This window comes from Homo sapiens, chromosome 2 (assembly GCF_000001405.40).
Source record: "Homo sapiens chromosome 2, GRCh38.p14 Primary Assembly".
NCBI lineage: Eukaryota > Metazoa > Chordata > Mammalia > Primates > Hominidae > Homo > Homo sapiens.
In genome coordinates this window covers 10,303,311-10,324,743 of record NC_000002.12, presented here as the reverse complement: position 1 = coordinate 10,324,743, position 21,433 = coordinate 10,303,311, and the positions used below count along the sequence as shown (strand labels likewise).

At 48.6% G+C, this 21,433-nt stretch overlaps 1 protein-coding gene across 15 annotated transcripts in view, besides 4 other annotated features; it reads right to left on the bottom strand.

Moving 5' to 3' along the window:
• Nucleotides 1–21,433, bottom strand: part of HPCAL1 (hippocalcin like 1) — a 124,701-nt gene that overhangs the window by 102,861 nt on the left and 407 nt on the right. For 3 of the 15 annotated variants that reach the window (XM_047444097.1, XM_011510348.2, XM_047444096.1), the window contains exon 1: nt 238–13,041. The exons of 11 other annotated variants lie outside the window; for them this stretch is intronic. The gene's annotated coding sequence lies outside the window, so the exon portion shown is untranslated. Of the gene's footprint in view, nt 1–237; nt 13,042–20,801; nt 21,045–21,433 lie in introns of those variants that run through there. One more of the 15 variants, NM_134421.3, reaches the window with a different exon arrangement.
• Nucleotides 4,135–4,635: an enhancer, noted in NCBI's record as "H3K4me1 hESC enhancer chr2:10460235-10460735 (GRCh37/hg19 assembly coordinates)". NCBI's record gives its function as "activates a minimal SCP1, AML or CMV promoter by ChIP-STARR-seq in naive H9 embryonic stem cells {active_cell/tissue: H9 hESC(naive)}" and the evidence as "EXISTENCE:reporter gene assay evidence [ECO:0000049][PMID:30033119]".
• Nucleotides 4,636–5,136: an enhancer, noted in NCBI's record as "H3K4me1 hESC enhancer chr2:10459734-10460234 (GRCh37/hg19 assembly coordinates)". NCBI's record gives its function as "activates a minimal SCP1, AML or CMV promoter by ChIP-STARR-seq in naive H9 embryonic stem cells {active_cell/tissue: H9 hESC(naive)}" and the evidence as "EXISTENCE:reporter gene assay evidence [ECO:0000049][PMID:30033119]".
• Nucleotides 20,946–21,125: a silencer, noted in NCBI's record as "silent region_11161". NCBI's record gives its function as "represses an Ori minimal core promoter by ATAC-STARR-seq in GM12878 lymphoblastoid cells {active_cell/tissue: GM12878}" and the evidence as "EXISTENCE:reporter gene assay evidence [ECO:0000049][PMID:35858748]".
• Nucleotides 21,206–21,265: an enhancer, noted in NCBI's record as "active region_15300". NCBI's record gives its function as "activates an Ori minimal core promoter by ATAC-STARR-seq in GM12878 lymphoblastoid cells {active_cell/tissue: GM12878}" and the evidence as "EXISTENCE:reporter gene assay evidence [ECO:0000049][PMID:35858748]".

Here is a 21,433-nt window from a genome sequence, read left to right as displayed (position 1 = left end):
AAAGCAAACACCCCCTCCCCCAGCAGGTATTCACTAGCCACTAGCCAAGAGGACCCAAGAACTCCCAGTTTCACCAAAGGTCTGCTAGAACCGGTAAGGCAGGACCAGGGGTGGTTTCCTATCATTTGCATTTCCCCAAAACATAGGCTGAAAACCAGCCGGCAAATCAGGAATCCCCAAAATTTTTTAGCAGAGCAGCAACTTTTGAGAAGTGCTGAATGGCCACAATATACTCACAGCTGTGCAATGGCTATCCCCAAAGCGAGGAAACTGAGGCAAAAGGGGAAGGGACTGTCTCCCATGGTCACAAAACTGGTAGTTCTGGCTGAACCCCAGTTTTTGCTCACCAGGTCTCCTGGCCCCAGACCTGACTCCAGAGAACTCCGTCCCCTTCCCTGAGAAATGACATCACTGTTAGCCTGACCTAAGGAAGAATTCCCAAATAACAGACCACTTACACAATAGAGCTGTTGTCATGGTAACCACAGCCTTAACAACTTTGGCATTTCCACAACCTCTGATTGATCCGGTTCTCAAAACTGACATGACAATGAAACAGTATTTGCATTTAATTTATTTTAATTGGCTTTTACATAAGGAAATGTCTGGGTTTCACCCTTAATAACAACAGGATGAGTGAGTTCTTAATAGTGGGACCCTGGAAAACAGCAAGATGAAAGCCAATCATTTTAAATTTTCATTAACTGGAAAAATTCTTAACTGACTTTCTTGAAGTACATTTTACTTAATTCTCCTTCCTTTTCTGAAATGACAAGAGCTTTTGCATGGTGAAGTACATCCTTTAGACTACGTTCTTGTGCCACATTTAGTAATGGGAAGACTAGAAAAATCAGATGTTCCAGATGTTTCCATGAAGTAGCCAGTGGAAGTGTATATGGAAGTTCCGACAAGACGCAGATTTTTGTTGTTGTTGTTATTGTTTTTTAAATGTCTCCCCAGTGCCTGGAAGAATCCCTGGCATACAGTAGGCACTCCATAAATATTTGTGGAATGAATGGATGTGGGCTAATTCTCATTACCTGAGGTCATGCGTATAAAGCAGTAGGACAGTGCTGGTCATTTGAGCTTTTATTATTTTCATTAGAGTGAGGCGCAACTGGTGCTTACCTAAGGTAGTACACCACTGGGCTGTGAGAGATGGGGCCAGCTCCAGGGTAAAGGGTACAGGTTGGGGAGCCTCATCTGGGGCTGACACCTGTAACTGCCTCAGTCACCCATTGTCTTCAGCAATCCCACCTAACGTGCGCCCACTGCCAGGGCCAGGTGCAGGCCTGGGGCCAGATCCAGCATGAAACAAAGCTGAATGGGAATGTGTTTGGCCTCTGCTGGCCAGGGCACTCTGTCTACTGGAAAGGAAGGCTTTTTTACGCCATTCCCCCTGAAAGGTGCTCTAACACTGAAGTTAGGGTACAAGAGGCACAGGGGACAACTGAGAAAGGGGAGCAGCCAGCTTGAGAGGCTGGACGGGAACCTGCAACCAACGGTTGAGAGCGTGGAGCACCGTGACCCCATGCATACACGCTGGGACTCCGTGGGGAACGCGTCTGGGGAACCGGGGGAGCCAGGTCAGAGAGTTGTGCTGGAAACATGCCATGAAGCGGCCAGTGGTGGTGGCTGCAGCACAGTCATGGTGGACCTCAGGGTCAGCCTGGGATAGCTGAATCCTGATGCCCACCTGAGAGACCAGCTTAACACGATGGAGGGACAGGAAAGCAGAAGGGGGCAGCGTGTGTCCCAGGCTTGCCTGCTGTCTGTCTGTCAAGAGCCCCCAGGGATCTATCTGGGGGACTTGGGGACAATGTTGGACATTCCATCAATGAGGAATGCATTTGGCTGCAAACAACATAAAACGTGACAAGCGGTGGCTTAGATAAGAGTGGCTTAGATAAGAAAGGGTCTTCTTTGTGTCACAGAGCAAAGTTCAGGTGCAGGAGATCCAAGGTTCAGGCGGTAGCTCAAGAATGCCATCAAGGTCCCAGTCTTCTTCTGCTCTACTGTCTTTAGCACATGGATTTCAACCTCATGGCCACAGAACAGCTGCCCCATCTCCAGGAATCACATCTGCTTTCCAGGCAGGAAGAAGATGCATGGGTCAAAAATCATCTGTCTTGGGACTTTGACTCTTTATTCAGAAAGGGAAACCCCTCGCAGCAGGCTGCCCCTCAGCCAGAAAGGGCCAGTGAGGCCTAAACTCACTGGGCCCCCTGGTTGGGAGGCAGCTGGTGAAGTCAAGCCTTTCATTTTCCAGCCCCTTGGTGGAAGCATCCTTGCACTTGCTGTTCCCTTGCACCTGCTGTCCTGCTGGGGTTTTCGTGTGGCTTCTGCCCTTATTTTCTTCAAGTCTTTGCTCAGATGTCACCTTCTCATGAGACCTTCTCTGACCACCCTATTTAAAACTGTGGCTGGGTGCAGTGGTTCATGCCTCTAATCCCAGCACTTTATAAGGCTAACTTGGGAGGATCACTTAAGCCCAGGAGTTCAAGACGAATTTGGGCAATCTAGTGAGAACTCATCTCTACTAAACATTTAAAAATTATCCAGGAATGATGGGGTATGCCTGTAGTCCCAGCAACTCAAGAGGCTGAGGCAGGAGGAACATGTAATCCATAGAGTTGCAGGCTACAGTGAGCTATGATGGCGCCACTGCACTTCAGCCTGGGCAACAGAGCAAGACCTTGTCTCTAAAAAAATAAAAAATAAAATAAATAAAAAGTAAAATTGTGTCTCTCTATTTGCCTAAGAGAAATGAAAACATACATCCACAAAAAACTTGCACGCTTGTACAAAAAAAACTTGTTCCTCGCAGCATTGTTCAGAATAGCCAAAAGTGAAAACAGCCCAAATGTTCATCAACAGATGAATGGATAAACAAAATGTGGTCTATCCATACATTGGAATATTATTCCGCCATCTACAGGCATGCAGTACAGATACACACGCAGCATTGGCGGTGCATGAAAACACTGTGCTTGGTAAAGGAAGCCAGATGCAAAAGGCCTCATATTGCATGATTTCCTTGATATAAAATGTCCAGAAGTGGCAAATCCAGAGACACCTAAAGTAAATTATTGGTTTCCAGGGCCTAGGGCACGAGGAGATTGAGGAGTGACTGCTAATGGCTATGAGATTTTTTTCTGGGGTGATGAAAATGTTCTGAAATTAGTAGCTACTGGTGCTCAACTTTGCCAGTATACTAAAAGCAACTGAATTGTACATTTTTAAATGGCGACTTTCATGGTATATGGTATGTAAATTATATCTTATTAAAACAACAACAACAACAACACTTTCCCCTGAAAAAAAAAAACTGCATCTCTCACTGATACGGCTTGGATGTCTCAACCAAATCTCATGTTGAATTGTAATCCCCAGAGTTGGGGATGAGGCCTGGTGGGAGACGACTGGATCATGTGGGTGGATTTCTCATGAATGGTTTCTCACCATCCCCTTGGTTCTGTCCTCGAGATAGTGAGTTCTCACAAGATCTGGTTGTTTAAAAGTGTGTGGCACCTTGCATTTTTCTCTCTCTTGCTTCTGCTTTCTCCATGTGACGTGCCTGCTCCCCCGTCACCTTCCGCCATGATTGTAGCTTCTCAAGGCCACCTTAGAAGTTGAGCAGATGCCAGCACCATGCTTCCTGTACAGCCTGAAGAACCGTGAGACAATTAAATCTCTTTTCTTTATTAATGACCGTGTCTCAGGTATTTCTTTATAACAATGTGGAACGGCCTAATACACTCACGCTCTTCCATCCAATACCCTCACCCTCTTCACTAATGTATTGTTTTCCACAGTCTCATCACCTTCTAAGTATTACTATATTATACAATATAATCTGCTTATTTAGTTTACTGTTGTTGCTCCCAGCTAGAAACAGAAGCCCTGAGCGGGCAGGTCTTCTGCCTAGATCATTCTCTTAGCACAGAGACTGGCACATATACTAGGTACTATGTGAATGAATGAGTGAGTGAATGAATGAATGAATGGGAGCCCCACCAAGGTGCCAGGTGGAGCCCACTGATGTGAGAGCAGCTTTCCCTCCCCAGGGATTCTCTCTCCAGGCCCGGTCTCTGCTTAAACAGAGGCTCCCAAACACACGGTCCCTGTCAGTTCTCGCACTGCTATAAAGAACTACCTGAGACTGGGTAATTTATAAAGAAAAGAGGTTTAATTGGCTCACGGTTCCACATACTGCACAGGAAGCATGGCTGGGGAGGCCTCGGGAAACCTACAATCACGTCAGAAGGGACAGCAGGCACGTCCTACATGGCTGGAGCAGAAGGGAGAGCAGGGGGAGGTGCTTCACACTTTCAAACAACCAGATCTCGTGAGAACTCACTCACTATCATGAGAACAGCAAGAGGAACTCTGCTCCCATGATCCAATCACCCCCCACCAGGCTCCTCCTCCAACACTGGAGATTACAATTCAACACGAGATTTGGGTGGGGACACAAATCCAAACCATATCCGTCCATGTCCGTGGGGAGGCCCTAACCAAGTGGAAAGATAAGACTCATGTCTGGGAAGTGAAAGGCCAGGACTGAAGCCCTGCAGACAGCCAGGCCACAGGAGCTCAGGCATCAGTGGCCCAGCAGTGCCTCCACAGGATGCCTGAGCTAGCCCAGGAGGCTTCTTGGAGGAGGCAACCCCAAGCAAGACTGGGAGCTGCAAAGGGGACTCGGGGGGCTGCAGGAGCAAGAGGGCCTCCCAGGCAGGCAGGTTGGCAAGAAGCAAATGCTCCTCTCCTCAAATGACTGCGCCAAGAAGAAGATGGGCATTGTCTTTCTCCCTTAGTTCAAGACCCAGACCTGCAGCAGCAAGTCAGTCCCCTGCAGCCCAGAACCTGCTCCACTTAGTAAGGCATAAGTCGGCTGGGAAACGAATCCCTGAGGATTTCAGACCTTCTGCTTGGATCACTCTCTTAGCACAGAGACTGGCACATAGTAGACACGATGTGAATGAATGAGTGAATGAGTGAATGAATGAATGGGAGCTCCACCAAGGGGCCAGGTGGAACCCACTAATGTGAGAGCACCTTTCCCTACCCAGGGATACTCTCTCCAGGCCCGGTCTCTGCTTAAACAGAGGCTCCCAAACACAGGGTCCCTGTATTAGTCTGCCCACCCCACCCCACCCCACCCCACCCCACCTGCCCGTCAGCCTATCATCCCCTGAAAAGGTGATCACACAGCTGGCTGTTTGAGCAGAGCTGCTTGCTAAATCGATGCTCTGATTTGAGCCATGCCTGGCTGTCTGTGCTTGAACAAGCATTTTTCATCTGAGAGTCCAGCTCCCAGACTGCCCAGTACATAACGGCAAATTACTCCCCTGCCTGGCAGACAAAAAGACGGAGGAGGCTGCATGCTCCCACAGGCACGGGGGCTTCCTTCAAACATCGTCCCATTTCCCCTGCAAGCCTCCAGGCCTCTCCTATGGGCTGACATCTTGCAGAGGGAAAATGAAAAATACAGGTTGACTCCAGACTGGGGGATGGAAAAGTGCAGAAGGCTCAGAACTCAAATTTCCACAAGGGAAGCCCCAGGAACCCATCAAGGAAACCTGCAGTCTCAGACACTCCCGTGCTGGGGCAGCAGGAGGTGAATTTGGAAAGACTCACGATGAGGACGACAATGATGTTGATGATGGTCCTTACATTGATACAGCACTTTAGAGTTCAGAAGAGGTTTAATGGCAACTATTACAAGCAGCCTGCGAAAGGGAGGCTGTGGAATTCCCATTTCACAGATGAGGATATAGACGCTACAAGGCCGTGTCCATCAAAAGCATGGCAGTGGTCCCGGCAGACCCAAGGGCTGGCATGGAGAAGGCACGGGTGGGTGCTATTCAAGCTTCAGGGAGGGTAGCAGGATAGGAACAGAGTCCATAGGGAGGCACTTATTTTCCTTTAAAAAGGATGGCCTGTTCACTACCCATTACACTGCAAGGGAGTGGGTCAGCCTCAAGACAGCAGCTCTTGGCTGCCCTTAGCCTCCCAGATGGAGTTGCAAGCACCTCCTCTCAAGTCTCTAAGCCCGTGGCACTTGGGGCCTGAGGTTTGTTTTCTTATTCAGATCACAGCATCCTTTGCCACTAGAAAACCGAGCCCACCCGGCCAATCACCGGCTGCACATGGAGGCTGGAGTCTGTCACTTTCCTCACATCGCCAATGTCCGGAGCGGTCATCAACTCTAACCACACCCACGTGCGGCCTTATCAGGCCTGTCACAAGGCCACTTGAGGACCCCATCAGTTAACAAGCATGGGCAAAACAGGCTGTCCGGCACCGGGACTGCAGTAGACCCTTGCTGAACACAAACCCAAAGAAGGGAGAGAAAGAGTGGCCGCCTTTTTCTCCTGAAATAACTGCAAAGACGTAACTTCTGCAGGTGCGAGCTGGGGTTGGGGGAGTCTGGGGCGGGGGTGGAGGAGTAGGATACCCACCTGGGGCCTACAGTGGCTGCCACTGTGGGATGCTCTGTTTCAGTGAGTTTGAGGATGCTGGTGCTGAACTGGATGAAAGGAGAAAGACTTGTCAATATTTGACAAGTCCTAGGAAGTGTAAAGAGCTTTTTACAGCCAACCACCAAGTTGACTGCCTTTAGAAATGGGGAGAGACCCAAGAATATGCACAAATAGGATTTTTTTCATGTATAAAATTATCAGAAGCAGACTGATAAGGCACTGTTCTCCATTCTGAAAAATGCCTCTGAATAATAACACATCAAACAAAAACAGATGATGTTATTGTCCATCCAACAAGGCATGTGCCCACTCGTCCCATGGGGACAACAAGAGAGGTTCCAGGCCCCGAGGTTTAGCTGTGGCTGACAGTGAATGTGAGCCAGGAACGGGTGAGCCCAGGGCCCCCTTGTGGGCTTCATGTGGTCTAGGATCACAACCCTAATACAAGCTCCGCCAGGGCAGGGCCTCCAATGGTCTTGCTCTATCTTGCATCCCCAGTGCCCAGGCCAGGATCTGGCAAACCATATATAATAATTGTTGAGGCCGAGCATGGTGGTTTACACCTGTAATCCCAGCACTTTGGGAAGCCAAGGTGGGTGGATCACCTGAGGTCAGGAGTTTGAGACTAGCCTAGCCAACCTGGTGAAACCCCGTCTCTGCTAAAAATACAAAAATTAGCCAGGCATGGTGGTGCATCCCGGTACTCCCAGATACTCAGGAGGTTGAGGCAGGAGAATTGCTCGAACCCAGGAGGCACAGGATGCAGTGAACCGAGATCACGCCACTGCACTCCAGCCTGAGAGGCAGACTGAGACCCTGTCTCAAAAAAAAAAAAAAAAAATTGTTGAATTATTTTAAGGGGTAATCATCATTCACACCAAAGCAGGCATCTCTAGCTTTAAGAGATTTTGTTGGTGAAGTTGTTGTGGCTGTTTTGGATAGGGGGTCTTGATGCATGGAAGTGCTTCTGATAGGAAAAGGTAGGGTTATGTAGGATTCATAATTAAGCAAAACAAAACCGAGGACAAAATTATGTCAGAAATCACACTGTAAGTCAACAAAAACATCTGATCTGTGTTTAGAAAAACTTAATTCACACACACTATTGCAGAAATATCACATAAAGTGAGCTGATTTCTTTTCCAGGACAACTGGGATACCCAGGAAACCGCAGGGACACACACCTGGTCTCCATAGCAACCTACCTGTCTCCAGTGATAGGCGAGCAGGCTTCCTGCCTCGGTGTTAAATCTTGTAATAACCCGAGGGCCCAGAGTTTGAAAAGAACAATTTCTGAATGCTGAAGCCATACGAATTTTTTTTAATGTGGTATCATAGGTAAAGATCCTGAAATTATTTACCAGACGTGATAGAATTTTGCTGAAAATTACATTTTCTTCTCCAGACCATAAATATGAACAGTAGACTATAAAGATGGGATTCTTTCAATATCTAATCCAAGAAACAGCAAGCAGCCACTGAGTGAGTAGCAAAGGCAACTTCTGGTTTCTCGGATTTTACAGTGATGTGATTTGCCTGGGGAGGCAGCCCGGCCCCAGCATCCCTCTCCTTTGTTCACCCTGGAATTAATCTTTCATATTAGCCAATTTTTCTGATGGCTGGCCTCATCTTCATAACTTTCCACTGCTGACTCAATATCCTGGACTCAAACAGATTAAACCTCTGAAAAACGATGGGGAGGAACGGCCTAAGAAGCCTTTGGAGGGAAGCCATTGAAAGTCAGGCATGGCCCTCACAAGGGCTGAGGTGGCCCTGCTTACCAGCCAGCAAAGAAATACGGTCAACCCAACATCAACCGCCTGAGTCACAGAGAGAAAAAGAAGGATCATCGCCAGGAGTCTTCCAATTCACAGGGGCTAGAGACCAGCAGGCCCATTCTCTGGGGGTCATGAAGAATGGGCAGGGAAGGGGAGCAGAAAAAGTTATTTTCAAAAAGGGAGCTGAAACATATTAGAATGACAAACAGTAAGGAGATTATTCCTGGAAAAGCCAGGGCCGTGAAAAGCAACAGCAGGGGCTGGTGGTATCAGGACATCAAACCACTTCATTAAAATACCCAAGGTTCAAACAGCAGGCGCCGAGATGGCTCCTTCCAGGTCAACAAACGAAGTGAACGCCCAAGTTCAAGAACACAAAAAAGAAAAACCATATTCTAGATAATAAACAAACTCTACACTATGCCACACTGAAACGGTAAATTTCCTGGAAGACTCTGGATGTTGTTTTTTTTTGAGAGCAAGTCTCACTCTGTTGCCCAGGCTGGAGTGCAGTGGCCTGATCTCGGGTCAGTGCAACCTCCACCTCCTGGGTTCAAGAAATTCTCATGTGTCAGCCTCCCGAGTAGCTGGCACTACAGGCGTGAGCCACCATGCCCAGCTAATATTTGTATTTTTAGTAGAGATGGGGTTTCACCATGTTGGCCAGGCTGGTCTCGACCTCCTGACCTCAAGTGATCCGCCTGCCTCAGCCTCCCAAAGTGCTGGGATTACAGGCATGAGCCACCGCACGTGGACTGAATGTTTTTCTTTATGTCCTAGGTAACAGATTTGCTCAGTGTTGAATTTCAGTGCAGCGAAGAAATTTTAATAAGGGATTATGATAAATTTCCATTAATTTAAATAATCACAAGTATGGAAATTATGGATGCCAGCCAGTCTAACCATAACAAGAAAGTTTGGTAAGCAAATTAAGAGGGTAAATAAAGGATGGGTATTTGGAGTTCCTCCTGGAGGCTCTTTCCTGTCTAATTGCAAAAATAATAAATGCCCACTGGTGAAAATTTAGAATGTGGCAAAACATGAAAAATCAAGAAAGACCCATGATCCCATGGAATACAACCACCGTTAACATTTAGATATGTTTCCTTCCCATCTATTTTCTGACTTTCTTCCCCGTCCAAACATAAATGAAATGAAACTGTCTGCATAATTCTTTTTTTTTTTTTTGAGACGGAGTCTCGCTCTGTTGCCCAGGCTGGAGTGCAGTGGCGCGATCTCGGCTCACTGCAAGCTCCACCTCCTGGGTTCACCCTATTCTCCTGCCTCAGCCTCCCGTGTAGCTGGGACTACAGGCACCCGCCACCACGCCCGGCTAATTTTTTTTGTATTTTTAGTAGAGACGGGGTTTCACCGTGTTGGCCAGGATGGTCTCGATCTCCTGACTTCATGATCCGCCCGCCTCGGCCTCCCAAAGTGCTGGGATTACAGGCGTGAGCCACCGCGCCTGGCCTGCATAATTCTTTATCTTGCTTCCTAGCCCCACATTTGGGAAAAATGTTTAAACAGCTGATTTTCAGTCTCTTTATACCTACATCTACTACCTACTATCCTAATCTAATCTATCTAATATCTACTATCTTATTACCGCTAATGTGCTAATTTCAAATAATTCTTAGCAATTCATTTAAAAAAAACAATTTGAAACAAAATCTGGTCAGTAGTTTACATTACTACATATACTTTTGTCTGAAAATAATACAATTACTTATCTCTATAATACTCCCTACTTCTGACTTTTCTCTAATTCACAATTAGTTAAGAAGTTTGGCTGACCAGTTTCTTAAATAATCAGTACTATCACCTCCTAAGACGAACATAAAGACATCATTATAATGAGGAAAGCAACAACCCTAGCAGTGGTTTTTCCTGCTAGAGGATCCTCTTAAGGGAACAGTAAACAGCTTCTAAATAAGGCCCCCGATCTACAGCCTAAGAATCTAGCTGACTGCCAACCTTCAATGCTCCCACAGTGAATATCCCACTGCAGTCACTCACCTCTATGTCTGTCTCGCCCTTACGCCACGAGTCCCTGTCTTCTTAATCTCAGCCTCCTTAATATAGGAAGTTAACAGGAAAGGTTGAATGGTGAGCTGGATGCATGAAACCAACCCACAGAGCTCACCTCCCTAAATTCCAACCTTAATATCTTCCTGCCACCCCCCACCCCTGCACCAATCTCTCCTAATCTGTGCTCCACAAATGTATTCCTCAATGTTATCAGTTTCTTCTGAATCATAATGCTGCCTCTTAAGATGGCAGTTGCTAAGATGGCAGTTGCTAAGATGCCTGCATATTATAAGAGGATTCTTTTTTTTTTTTTTTCCCTGAGACGGAGTCTTGCTCTGTCACCCAGGCTGGAGTGTAGTGGCTCAGATCTCTCAGCTCATTGCAACCTCTGCCTCCTGGGTTGAAGCAATTCTCCTGCCTCAGCCTCCCGAGTAGCTGGGATTACAGGCGCCCGCCACCAAGCCCAGCTAATTTTTATACTTTTAGTAGAGACGGGGTTTCACCATGTTGGCCAGGCTGGTCTTGAACTCCTGACTTCGTAATTTGCCCGCCTCAGCCTCCCAAAGTGCTGGGATTACAGGCATGAGCCACCACGCCCGGCCCAAGAGGTTTCATTTTTTTGCAGTCAATTTAGCTAGGAAAATTCTCTCTTTGCTCTATGTTGGATGTACCTACAATGCAAGTATGCATTTTTAAACATCTTTCCTGAATTGCAGAGCTGACAGAGGACTTAGAGGCTGTTCAACCCTAAGCCCCATTTGTCAAACGAGAGAACTGAGATCTGGAGAGGCAATGTCTCCCATGCCAAGTCAAAGCCAGACATCAATGATGGGATGGGAGTCACTCTGCCAACCCTAAAGCCTTGTTGGCTTCCAGACCACTGTCCCACAGTTTTAACAAATGCGTAAAACAAACTCTCACCAATTGACTACAAACATAGAAAACACTAGCAGTGCCCTGACCTAGCCACTCAGACCTGCAAAGCCAGCCCTCAGGCAAGGTGTTAAGATTCTAATGAAGGCAGCCGCCATCCTACAGTTAAGGAATTGGGGGGTGGTTCAGTCACACATCTGGGCAGACATTGTGTTCCAGGCTCTGTGCCCAGAATGCGGGGGTCACCAAGGAGAAATCCACAGGGTCCTACCTAAAGTGGCCTACCACCCTGGGAGAGATGGACAAGCAGTAAGGTCAGGCTCCAGCCAGAATTTGTCCTCCCTGGAGGGACAAAGGAGAGCTCCACAGAGCAGGTAACACTGGCTTACTCCTGGGCCTGAAAGAATACGTGAGATTCTCCCAGAATCTTCTAGATCAGTGGTTCTCATGAAGACCCTTTCAGAAGAATCACACTCCACCATCATCCACTTGGGTTCTCTATGCCTATACTCATCCTGTCCTGACTACCCTAATCACCACACCAACAGTAGAAAACCCCCAAAGAACAGCTAACTCACCAGGAATGTGCCATGTCAAGCACGACCCAAAGCAGCCCAAAGGTTGAGAAGCACCATGATGTTGGTGACAGTGATGGTGATGGTGGTGACAGTGATGATGATGACGATGATAGTGATGGTGATGGTGGTGGTGGTGATGATGATGGTGATAATGACAGTGATGACAGTGATGATGAATGGTGATGATGACGGTGATGGTGACGATGGTGACAATGATGATAATGACGATGATGGTGATGATGACAGTGATGGTGAATGGTGATGACAGCAATGATGGTGGTGATGGTGATGATGATGGGGATGGGGATGATAGTGATGATGATGATGATGATGGTGATGGAGAAAGGTGATGATGACAGTGATAATGATGGTGATGGTGATGGCAATGGTGGTGATGGTGATGATGATGACAGTGATGGTGATGATGATGAGGATGGGGATGACAGTGATGATGGTGATGGTGGTGGTGATGATGATGGTGATAATGACAGTGATGATAGTGACGGTGAATGGTGATGATGACAGTAATGATGATGGTGATGGTGATGATGGTGATAATGATGATAGTGATGATGATGGTGATGACGACATTGATGGTGAATGGTGATGATGACAGCAATGACGGTGGTGATGGTGATGATGATGGGGATGAGGATGATATGATGATGATGATGATGATATGATGATGATGATGATGGTGATGGAGAAAGGTGATGATGACAGTGATAATGGTGGTGATGGTGATGGTAATGATAGTGATGATGATGGTGATGACAGTGATGATGGATGTTGATGATGACAGTGATGATGATGGTGATGGTGATGATGGTGGGGATGATAGTGATGATGATGATGGTGATGGAGAATGGTGATGATGGTGAGGATGATAGTGATGATGGTGATGGAGAATGGTGATAATGATGGTGGTGATGGTGGGGATGATAGTGATGACGATGATGATGACAGTGATGATGAATGGTGACGATAACAGTGATGATGGCGATGGTGATGATGGTGGTGGTGATGGTGATGACAGTGATGATGATGGTGATGATGACAGTGATGATGAATGGTGATGAATGGAATGATGATGATGATAGCGACAGCAATGATGATGGTAATGATGATGATGGGGATGGGGATGATAGTGATGATGATGATGATGGTGATGGAGAAAAGTGATGATGTCAGTGATAATGATGGTGAGGTGATGGATATGATAGTGATAATGATAATGGTGATAATGGTTTTGGGGAGCCAGCAACTGGCCCAGCACAAACCACAGGGGGAAGGAGCTACAGGCCACAGTGAGCCCTTTACACTGCTTGGCGATCCCTGGCCCCAAAACCTGGAATTCCTTACCTGTGCTCTACATCTTCTCCCCCCACTCCCATCCACACTGTGAAAATAATTCTCAAATGCATAACCTTTCACCTTACAATGAGCTCTGAGAATAATCAGCCAGGCCGTATTGTTTTTAGATAAGGTAACAGCATATCACCAAGAACATGTGCTCATAAAAGCAGCAATTCTTTATCCCTGGATGTCTTCAGAAAGAAGAGGGGAAAGCACCTCCTAAGAAATAAGAATAAATTGTACCTGCCAGCATTCCAGCATGAAGGCAAGCAGGGCCTTAGCACCTGCCAGAGCCCTGCGTCTACCTTTACTCGCTGGGAAGAAAGACACAGAGAAGCCACGGCAGCCACATCTCATGTCCCACCCCTGGAGGCTAAGCCCCTGCCAGGCATCCAGGCTGCATCACCAGCACGGGCTCCAAACTGCATGACTGAAGAGTTTCTAATAAAGCACACCTCAACCACTGCTGAGGGATTGGGGGGCGGGGGGACAACCAGTTCTGCCACCCATGGCCCTATCTCAGCCCCTGAAGCTGGGGGCTTTTCTGGACCTCCTACATCCCACACTCATTCTGCCAGGAGTGTCTCCAGCCACACACAGTAAATACGGAAAACTGCATGATGTTAAAAATGATTTTTTTTCAACATAGGTGATCGATTTCGAGAGGTTCTCACTTCTCTCCAAAAATTGATTACAGGGCAGCAAATAGAAAAGATGGGAGTGAAAGGGAGGAGTTGGGGCTGTCATCAATTCTGCTTTCTGGAAACGTCTGTTAAATGCACAGAAAGAAGGCAGAGAGCTGAGCATTTTGCTGCTAGAGAAAAAGAGCGCTGCAGTCGATACACACTGCTGTACAGAACCGCAATTCTGCAAGTGTGCCCAGCAGTCCTCCTCCGGCCTGCCAGCACGAACACTCCCAGACCCGATCCATGCTCTGCACACACTCACAGAGGGAGGGGACCACCAGCTCCGGGCCTCGTTATGCCTGAGGAACAACCTGCAGCTCTCTCTGTGCAACCCCCACCACCAAGCTCAGGGTCTCTGTAGGTGCATCAGGGACCCTGACAGATGCTTCTCAGAAGGCATGAGGCTAGGACAATCCAAAATGGCAGCTCCCCAAACTCCAAGCAGTAACCAGCACTGGCTGCCTTCCGGAAGCCTCCACACGCACAGCAGTCACAGACTCCAGCATCAAATCCCTTGCTACGACAGCCTGGATCAAAACATGCCTCATAAGCCCGAATTTGAAAAGGAATTCTGTACTCAGTGGCAGAGGAGGCACTAGATCCAAGAATGCTTAAAGAGTAATGGCAGCCACCACCACTTATTCCACACGTGACCAGCCAGACTCACCTAGGTACTCACATCTGCGTCCCCATCTACGTCTGAGCTGCGCCTAGAACCCCTTTCTGCACATGACCAAACAGACTCAGAGAACATCACCAGCCAGTAAACAGAGCAAAGACTACAGTTCAAACCCAGTCTGCCACATCTGCAGACCTGGGTTTGAATTGTAGTTCCTGTCAATATCTGAGCTCAGCCTAAAACCCCTTTCTGCACCTGAGCAAACAGATTCAGAGACCATCACCAGCCAATAAACAACAGAGCAAAGACTACAATTCAAACCCCAGTGTCCCTGATCTTTCCAAGGTATTTTGCAAATGAGGTTCTAATACTCCGATTCAAGAATGTCTTGGTTCTTTCCACCATGATTTCTTTCATGGTTTCTGTCCACCATGAGAGTTCTCTACAACCATGGGAGAGAACGGTCATTTGTGATCTACCTGGCGTACAATGGGTATACAATTTCTGTGTCTTGGTTTGTGCATCTGTCAAATGGCATCTCATCCTCTGCTCTCTTCCTCAAAGAGTGAAAATGATCCAAGGTGAGAAATGCATCAGAAATGCACCAAGCCACCCAAGGCCACAGCACCACTGCATTCAACGCCCTCCCCCAGCCCCTTCTATTTACCAGGAGACCTCTCTACACACACACATTGCTTGAACCATCTCTACCTGTTCAGTTGTGGACTAGGTAGGTACTGGGGCAACACTGTGTGAACATGTGTCACACAGCACTCATGCCCTAGAAGGAGCTTCCATGGCTTAGGAAGGGATGACAAGACTCGTACAGGAAAATCTGAACACCAGCCCAGGCAAGGCCATAAAAGGGCATATCATTACTACCAAAACAAGGGCGGAAGAGAAAGTGACCTCGTTTAATTCTTGATCCTTCTACTTTCTGCTGATGCCCTTGGGCTACTTATTTGCTCTGGGCCTCCTCAGTTTTTTCATTTAGAAAAATGGCTTGGGCTGAGGCACAGTAGTTCACACTTATAATTCCAGCACTTTGAGAGGCCAAGGCTGGAGGATTATTTGAGCCCGGGAGCTCAAGACCAGTCTGGGCAACATAGCAAGACCTCGTCTCCACAAAAAATTTAAAAATCAGCAGGCATGGTGGTGTGTACCTGTAGTCCTAGCTACTCAGGAGACTATGGCAGGGGGATTGCTTGGGCCCAGGAGTTCAAGGCTGCAGTGAGCTGGGATCACATCACTGCACTCCAGCCTGGGCAACAGAGCAAGACCCTATCTCAAAAAAAAAAAGTTTGTTAAGAAGCAGGGTCTCACAATATTGCCCAGGCTCAAATCCCTGATTTCAAGCAATCCTCCCACCTCAGCACCCCCTAGTAGCTGGAACTACAGACAAGAGCCACTGTGCCTGGCTTAGAAAATAGATTTGTTTTGTTTTGTTTTGTTTGTTTTTGTTTTTGATTTGCCATTTGCCTCACAAGTTCTTGATGAAACAAGTTAAGGTATGTATGTAGCAGGGCTCACATCACCTGACACATCAATACATGCGCTGTATTTTAAATCCCCACACTCTGCTAGATACTCAGGAGTTATACAAAAGAAATGTGAGGAACACAACTTCAGCTGGTCCAGCCAACACACCTTGGGTATTCTGTAGGTGCCAGTGCTGAGCCAGGTGCAGGCAGGAGAGGCAGGTAAGAGAGCTCGCCATCTAGCAGCGGGATGGCCAAGCACCCAGCTCACTTCGTCGGTGCTGGGGGATAAATTGATTCTAACTAGAAGACTCTAGGAAGGCCCAAATGAAACAGCTCTTGGGCCGAACCTATGAAAACACACTAAGAAACATAGAAAGAAAAGGCAAATCTAGAGACAGAAAGCAAATCTGTGGGGGACTGGCGGCTTGAGGACGGGGACAGGGAGTTTGTACAAAAGAGGGATCTTTCTGGGGTGATGGATATGTTCCAAAACTGGATTGTGGTAATGGCTATGAACTCTATTAATTTACTGAAAATCATTAAACTGTACACTTAGAATGGGCATGCTTTATGAGAGATAAATTCTATCTTGGTATTAATTAAAACAAAAATGAGTAGGAGTTTAGCAGATAAGGAAGTCTGGGTGAGACAGAAGAAAGGCATCGAACAATCCAGCCCCAACTCCAACCCCTCCCCTGCACCCCCAACTCTCCCAGGTATCAGCTTAGAGGGTGCTTCTCCAGGGAGCCCCCTATACTGGGGTAGGAGCTCCCCTCCATAGCACTTCACGCTCCCTGGTCTTATTTGATAGGTACCCCACATACAACCCCCAGCCCAAGACCTTAAACTCTGCACAGGTAGGGAGGATGCCTGGGCCCAACCTTCTCAGACTCCAGCTTGGTCCAAGGCACACAGTAGGTATCAGAAGCACTTACTGCGTTAAGAGAACAAACCAAGGTTTGGTGGGGTTGGGGAGGCAGAAGACAGTGGGATGATGAAATCTGCGTTTTAAACTGGGAAGTGCTGCCGGTGTGGCTGGAGTGAAGGAACTGGAAGCATTCTCTGGGCCAAGGGCAGATAAGGCTCCGCTGTGCCGGAAGAGTGGGTGTGAGCCCTCAGAGAGGGCTGACCCAATTAGATGGCAAAGTGAAGACAGACAAAGAGCTCCAAAACTCTCCAGAGATTTCAAGTGAAGACAGAGAAAGAGCTCCAAAACTCTCCAGAGATTTCTAGCTTTAACAAATGAGTAGATGAGACGTGTTGACCATAATAGGTAGGAGACACAGCTTCAGTGAGGGAGATGTGTCCTCGGCTCTGTTTTGATGTGGAACAGCTCGGAGCCCACACCTAGTGTTAGGTCTGCAGCTCAGGGGGACAGCTCAGGTGTATATCTATATCACCTGCCAATGCACAGATGTGGGCATAGGTGAGTTCAGCCAGTGCACCTGGGCAGGTAGAAGGAACTGTCCTCTAGACATGCACTTAATATCATGCCTACCTGAGAGGAGACCTCACTTGCCTAAGGGGACACAGAGCAAGGAAAGATTTAAGCTAGGGCAAGAGAGTACTGAGGCGAAATCTGGGAAGACTTCCAAGAGGAGAACCACGCACCACCCAAAAGCCTTCTTCCTTTTTTCAGGGTCACAGCAACCTTATCCATGCAGTACGTATTTAACAATCCTGAGTTTTCTTAGCCAAGGGTCAGAGACCCATCCCTTGCTGGAGAAGACCTCTTGTCTCATGCCACAGGTGGGGCTAAGACACCTCCACCCCCAGGCTCCTGGCTTCCTGCCAACTTGGGTAGTACCTCAAGCACCAAAAAGATCCAAATACCCAGACAACCCAGCTGCGGGATTAGAAGCATTCAGGGTGCACTTGCTTCTTAAGGTAAAGGCACACAGCCCCAAGAAGTCATCTTTCCTGCCCTGCTGCTGGCAGAGGAGGGTGGCAACAGGAAGAGAGTGGAGGTCTCTGGGAAGGATTTCTTTAGTTCGTCATGCCTCCGATGTGAAGCTTTGCCTCTGAAATTCAATTTTACTTGAAACAACATGGCCAAGGTAGGGCTCTTTAAAGGATTTACTGTGCTTTTCAGATGATTTAAAAATCTTGAGACTTGCGCCCTGCTCATCAGCATCTAAGAAATGTTCCACCTGTCAAACCGTATTGATTACCTGAAGTCATATTACAATCTGCACCACTAGATTCCAACCATTTTTTAGTCTTTGTAGAAAGTGATTTGAAGAAACCTTTTTTCCGTAGGGTAACTGGCACCAAAAGAGCCCCTAAGCCCATGCTGCTGTCTCCATATACAGCCACCCTCTGTCATTCCCAGATTAGAAACTCAATCTAAGGGGAAAAGCACAAGAGCTACCTGACATTCACAGATGTGCAGCTTTACATGAGGACATAAGAACGACACAGAAACCCCCTGCTACCATAGGAGAGCAGGGAGCCCCAAAGTAGAGTGTGATTAAAATCTACAAGTGTCTGCTCATCCTAACTCCAAACATGCCTCCCCCACCCCCCAGCACAGTGACATCAGGTGCTGACAAACTAGCAGAATACACATAATCCCCCATCAATCCTGGCCTGGCAACTCATCAGTTGAACGCATTATCCCACAATGAACAAGCACGGTTTAGGGCTTGCTGGAATGCAAAATTTTAATACAAACCTAACCCCAATCTAGATAAAAATTCAGCTGCCAAGTAGCTTAATCTTCGGTGCCAAATAAACTCCGGGGCCCCCGTTAGTACCCTGGATTATCACTGGTTCATGAGTGAGTGTGGTACTCTACCACTTATGAGTAGCAAAAAGGGTCTTAGAATAAGTGTCACAGGGAGACAACTGCTCTGACGCACACTCAGCAGGGCATGCACTGTACCCGCGCTGCAGACCTTGGAACTGTGCTTGCAGAGCCCTGAAGGTAGGGGGTGTGAGCACCAGCGCTTCAACAGGAGGAAACAGCTCCAGGGTGAAATGGTGCTAGGTGAGTATGGGGCGCCTGGCTGGGGCGTTTGCACCAAGCGAAGTCCAGTCCTTGTCCTTCCATAGACTGCACTTCTAATTCTGCACAGCCCTGTGGCCAGAAAGGGGACGGAGTGTGTCCACGTTCTTGTATTTCACTTAGAATCTATCTCTAGGAGGGCTTGTTGGAAATAAATGGGTCATTGGCTGGAGTTTGGGCAAATCTCTGTTCTTCTGGGGTTTTGACTTGTTCTGGTTTCTCCACAGATCAAAGGACCTTCCATTTATTGGATTCCAAAGACAAAGTCTCCCAAATTGTTATCACACATTGACATTTCTGTTCCACCTTAAAAACAGCATGAAAGTGGGACGCAGAGGGAGCAGGCAAGGCTAGAATGTGCCACCGTGGCACCACATCCCACCGCAAGGGAGAGGCAGGGCCCCCGGGCCTTCCCTTTGCCACATTATCCAATAAAACCTCAAGAGCTCAGTAATTACAGGCACTTTCAAAAGTGAAACAGAAATAGATCTAAGGCCAAAACACTGGCTTGCTTGAGACAAAGGGCTGGCTTTAACTAGAAAAAAACAAAAACAAAACAAAACACAAACCTGGGTTTGGGTCTGTCTTCTGAGCTGAGAAAGCCAGACTGATTTTTTTTTTAATATTATTATGGAACCTGATTATGAGGAAAGAGTAGGATTCACACCAAAAGCCCTTTTTTCTTGTAGGACATAAAATCATTTGATGAAACAGAAAACAGGGTGCATTCTAAGTGTGCCCCTGTCACTAAGTCAGGATGAAAAATGAGAAAATGAGTTCATCGCATCCCCCTGGCCTGCCATGGCTAGGATTGCAGGGCTTCAGTCTCGGCCGAGGGAAACCAAAGGAACCGGACCAGGTTTCTATCCCTGGCTCCTAAAAGCCCGCAAAGCAGCCCGCCTCTCTGGGAACACCATCACGTAGCCCCTGACAGTTGGGAAGCGCATCCATACCAAAAGGCCGCCCATGCTGTCCCCTCCGCAGCCCAACCCCATGCCGGCGCTCCATTTTGAGAGCCTCCTGCACTGGTGAGATCTTGGCTCCCTTGGTTAAAGGCGATTTTTTTCCCCCAGAGAAAGACACCAAGGCGATGAAGGGAAAGAATATCCTTCGCTCTGGCCGAGAGCCACCCGACCCCTAGAGCTGGCCTTGCTGCGTCCGAGCCAGCGCCGAGGCGCCAGAACTCTCCAGAGAGTGAGTCGTGGTAAGAGCTGGGTGCTCGTTCACTGCGGTTCAATTTTACGACTAGTAGGTTTCAAAAGTAAATGTTTTAAATTAAGGTGTGGGACTAGGAGGAGGTGTCCCATGTGGCACCCCCGGCATGAGGCTGGCTGCAAGGGAGCAGGGATGGCAGGGGCTGGGGCTGGGGGTTGTCTAATGCCGAGGCCAGCAGCTGGACTCGGCGTCCCTGGCAAACATCCTCCTCTGGTGGAATTGGGGTCAGCCAGGAGGAAAGGGGTGGCCTTTGGCGGCCGGGACACCCCGGGAGCCCGAGATCTGCATGTGCGGGAAGCGCCAATTTTACGCCGTGACTCTCGGACTCCACGAGCTGAGCTGCATCCTCCCGGACTAGGAACTTGTTGAACCAAAGGGTTCTCAACTCCGCAGTCGCTGCCTCCCGGCCAGGAGAGGGACCCCCACGCTTGCGCGGGAGCCTGGGGGCTGGGGCAGGGCCGGCGCCCAGCGCGGCGCTCTCGGGCACTCGCGGAGGCGGCGCCGCCCGGGAGGTGCTGCAGGAGGCAGCGCAGCTGGCAGCTAAACTTTCTCGAATCTCAGTGCTTCGCGGTTAAGTTAGGGCCAGGGAGAGGCACAAAACACGCCCGGGGAAAATGTAAGGCCCCACCCACGATAAAGGGGAAAAAAAAAGGATTTTAAACAGGAGACGCTAATCCAATTAACACAGTACCTACTGTGTGCGGGGCTTTGGACCAAGAGCTGTCTTCAGTGCGTTCTCATTTCACCTGTCACCACAGCCCCCAAGGGAGGAGCTGTCCTCATTTTAAAGAGAAGCAAACCGCGACCGGGGAAGGTGGCGCGTCTGGCCCAGGTCGCAGTGCGGGTCGCGGGGAGGCCAGGGCTCTCCTCGTCGCCCCATGGCCCTGGGAGGAACGAGCGGATCGCCTCCGCGTGGGCCCCCACCCTTGGCAGAAGCTCACAGGCGACCCACGTGGGCCGCACGGACCTGTTCCCTGAGGGCTGCCCAGCCTGCCCGCGAGGCCCGCCCTTGCCCGTCGGGTCCCAGCTGTCCTCGAGGCTCCTAAGCTACGCACTGCGCCGACCAGCAGGGACAGGGGGCTCTGGGCGTGGGGCTGGACCACCCACACCCACCCCGCCACCCCGCTCTGCGCACAGCTGCTCACACACGACACCCGCCAGGCACCGCTCCCCACCAGCAACTGCGCCCCGACACACAATTCCACAAACGCAGTCCAAAATGTGCACACCTAAGGCACACATGGATGCCCACGAGTACACGCCATTCGAAAGACACACCACCGTCCGCAGTCACCCACAACTCCACCGCGCAGAGAAACGCGGGCAC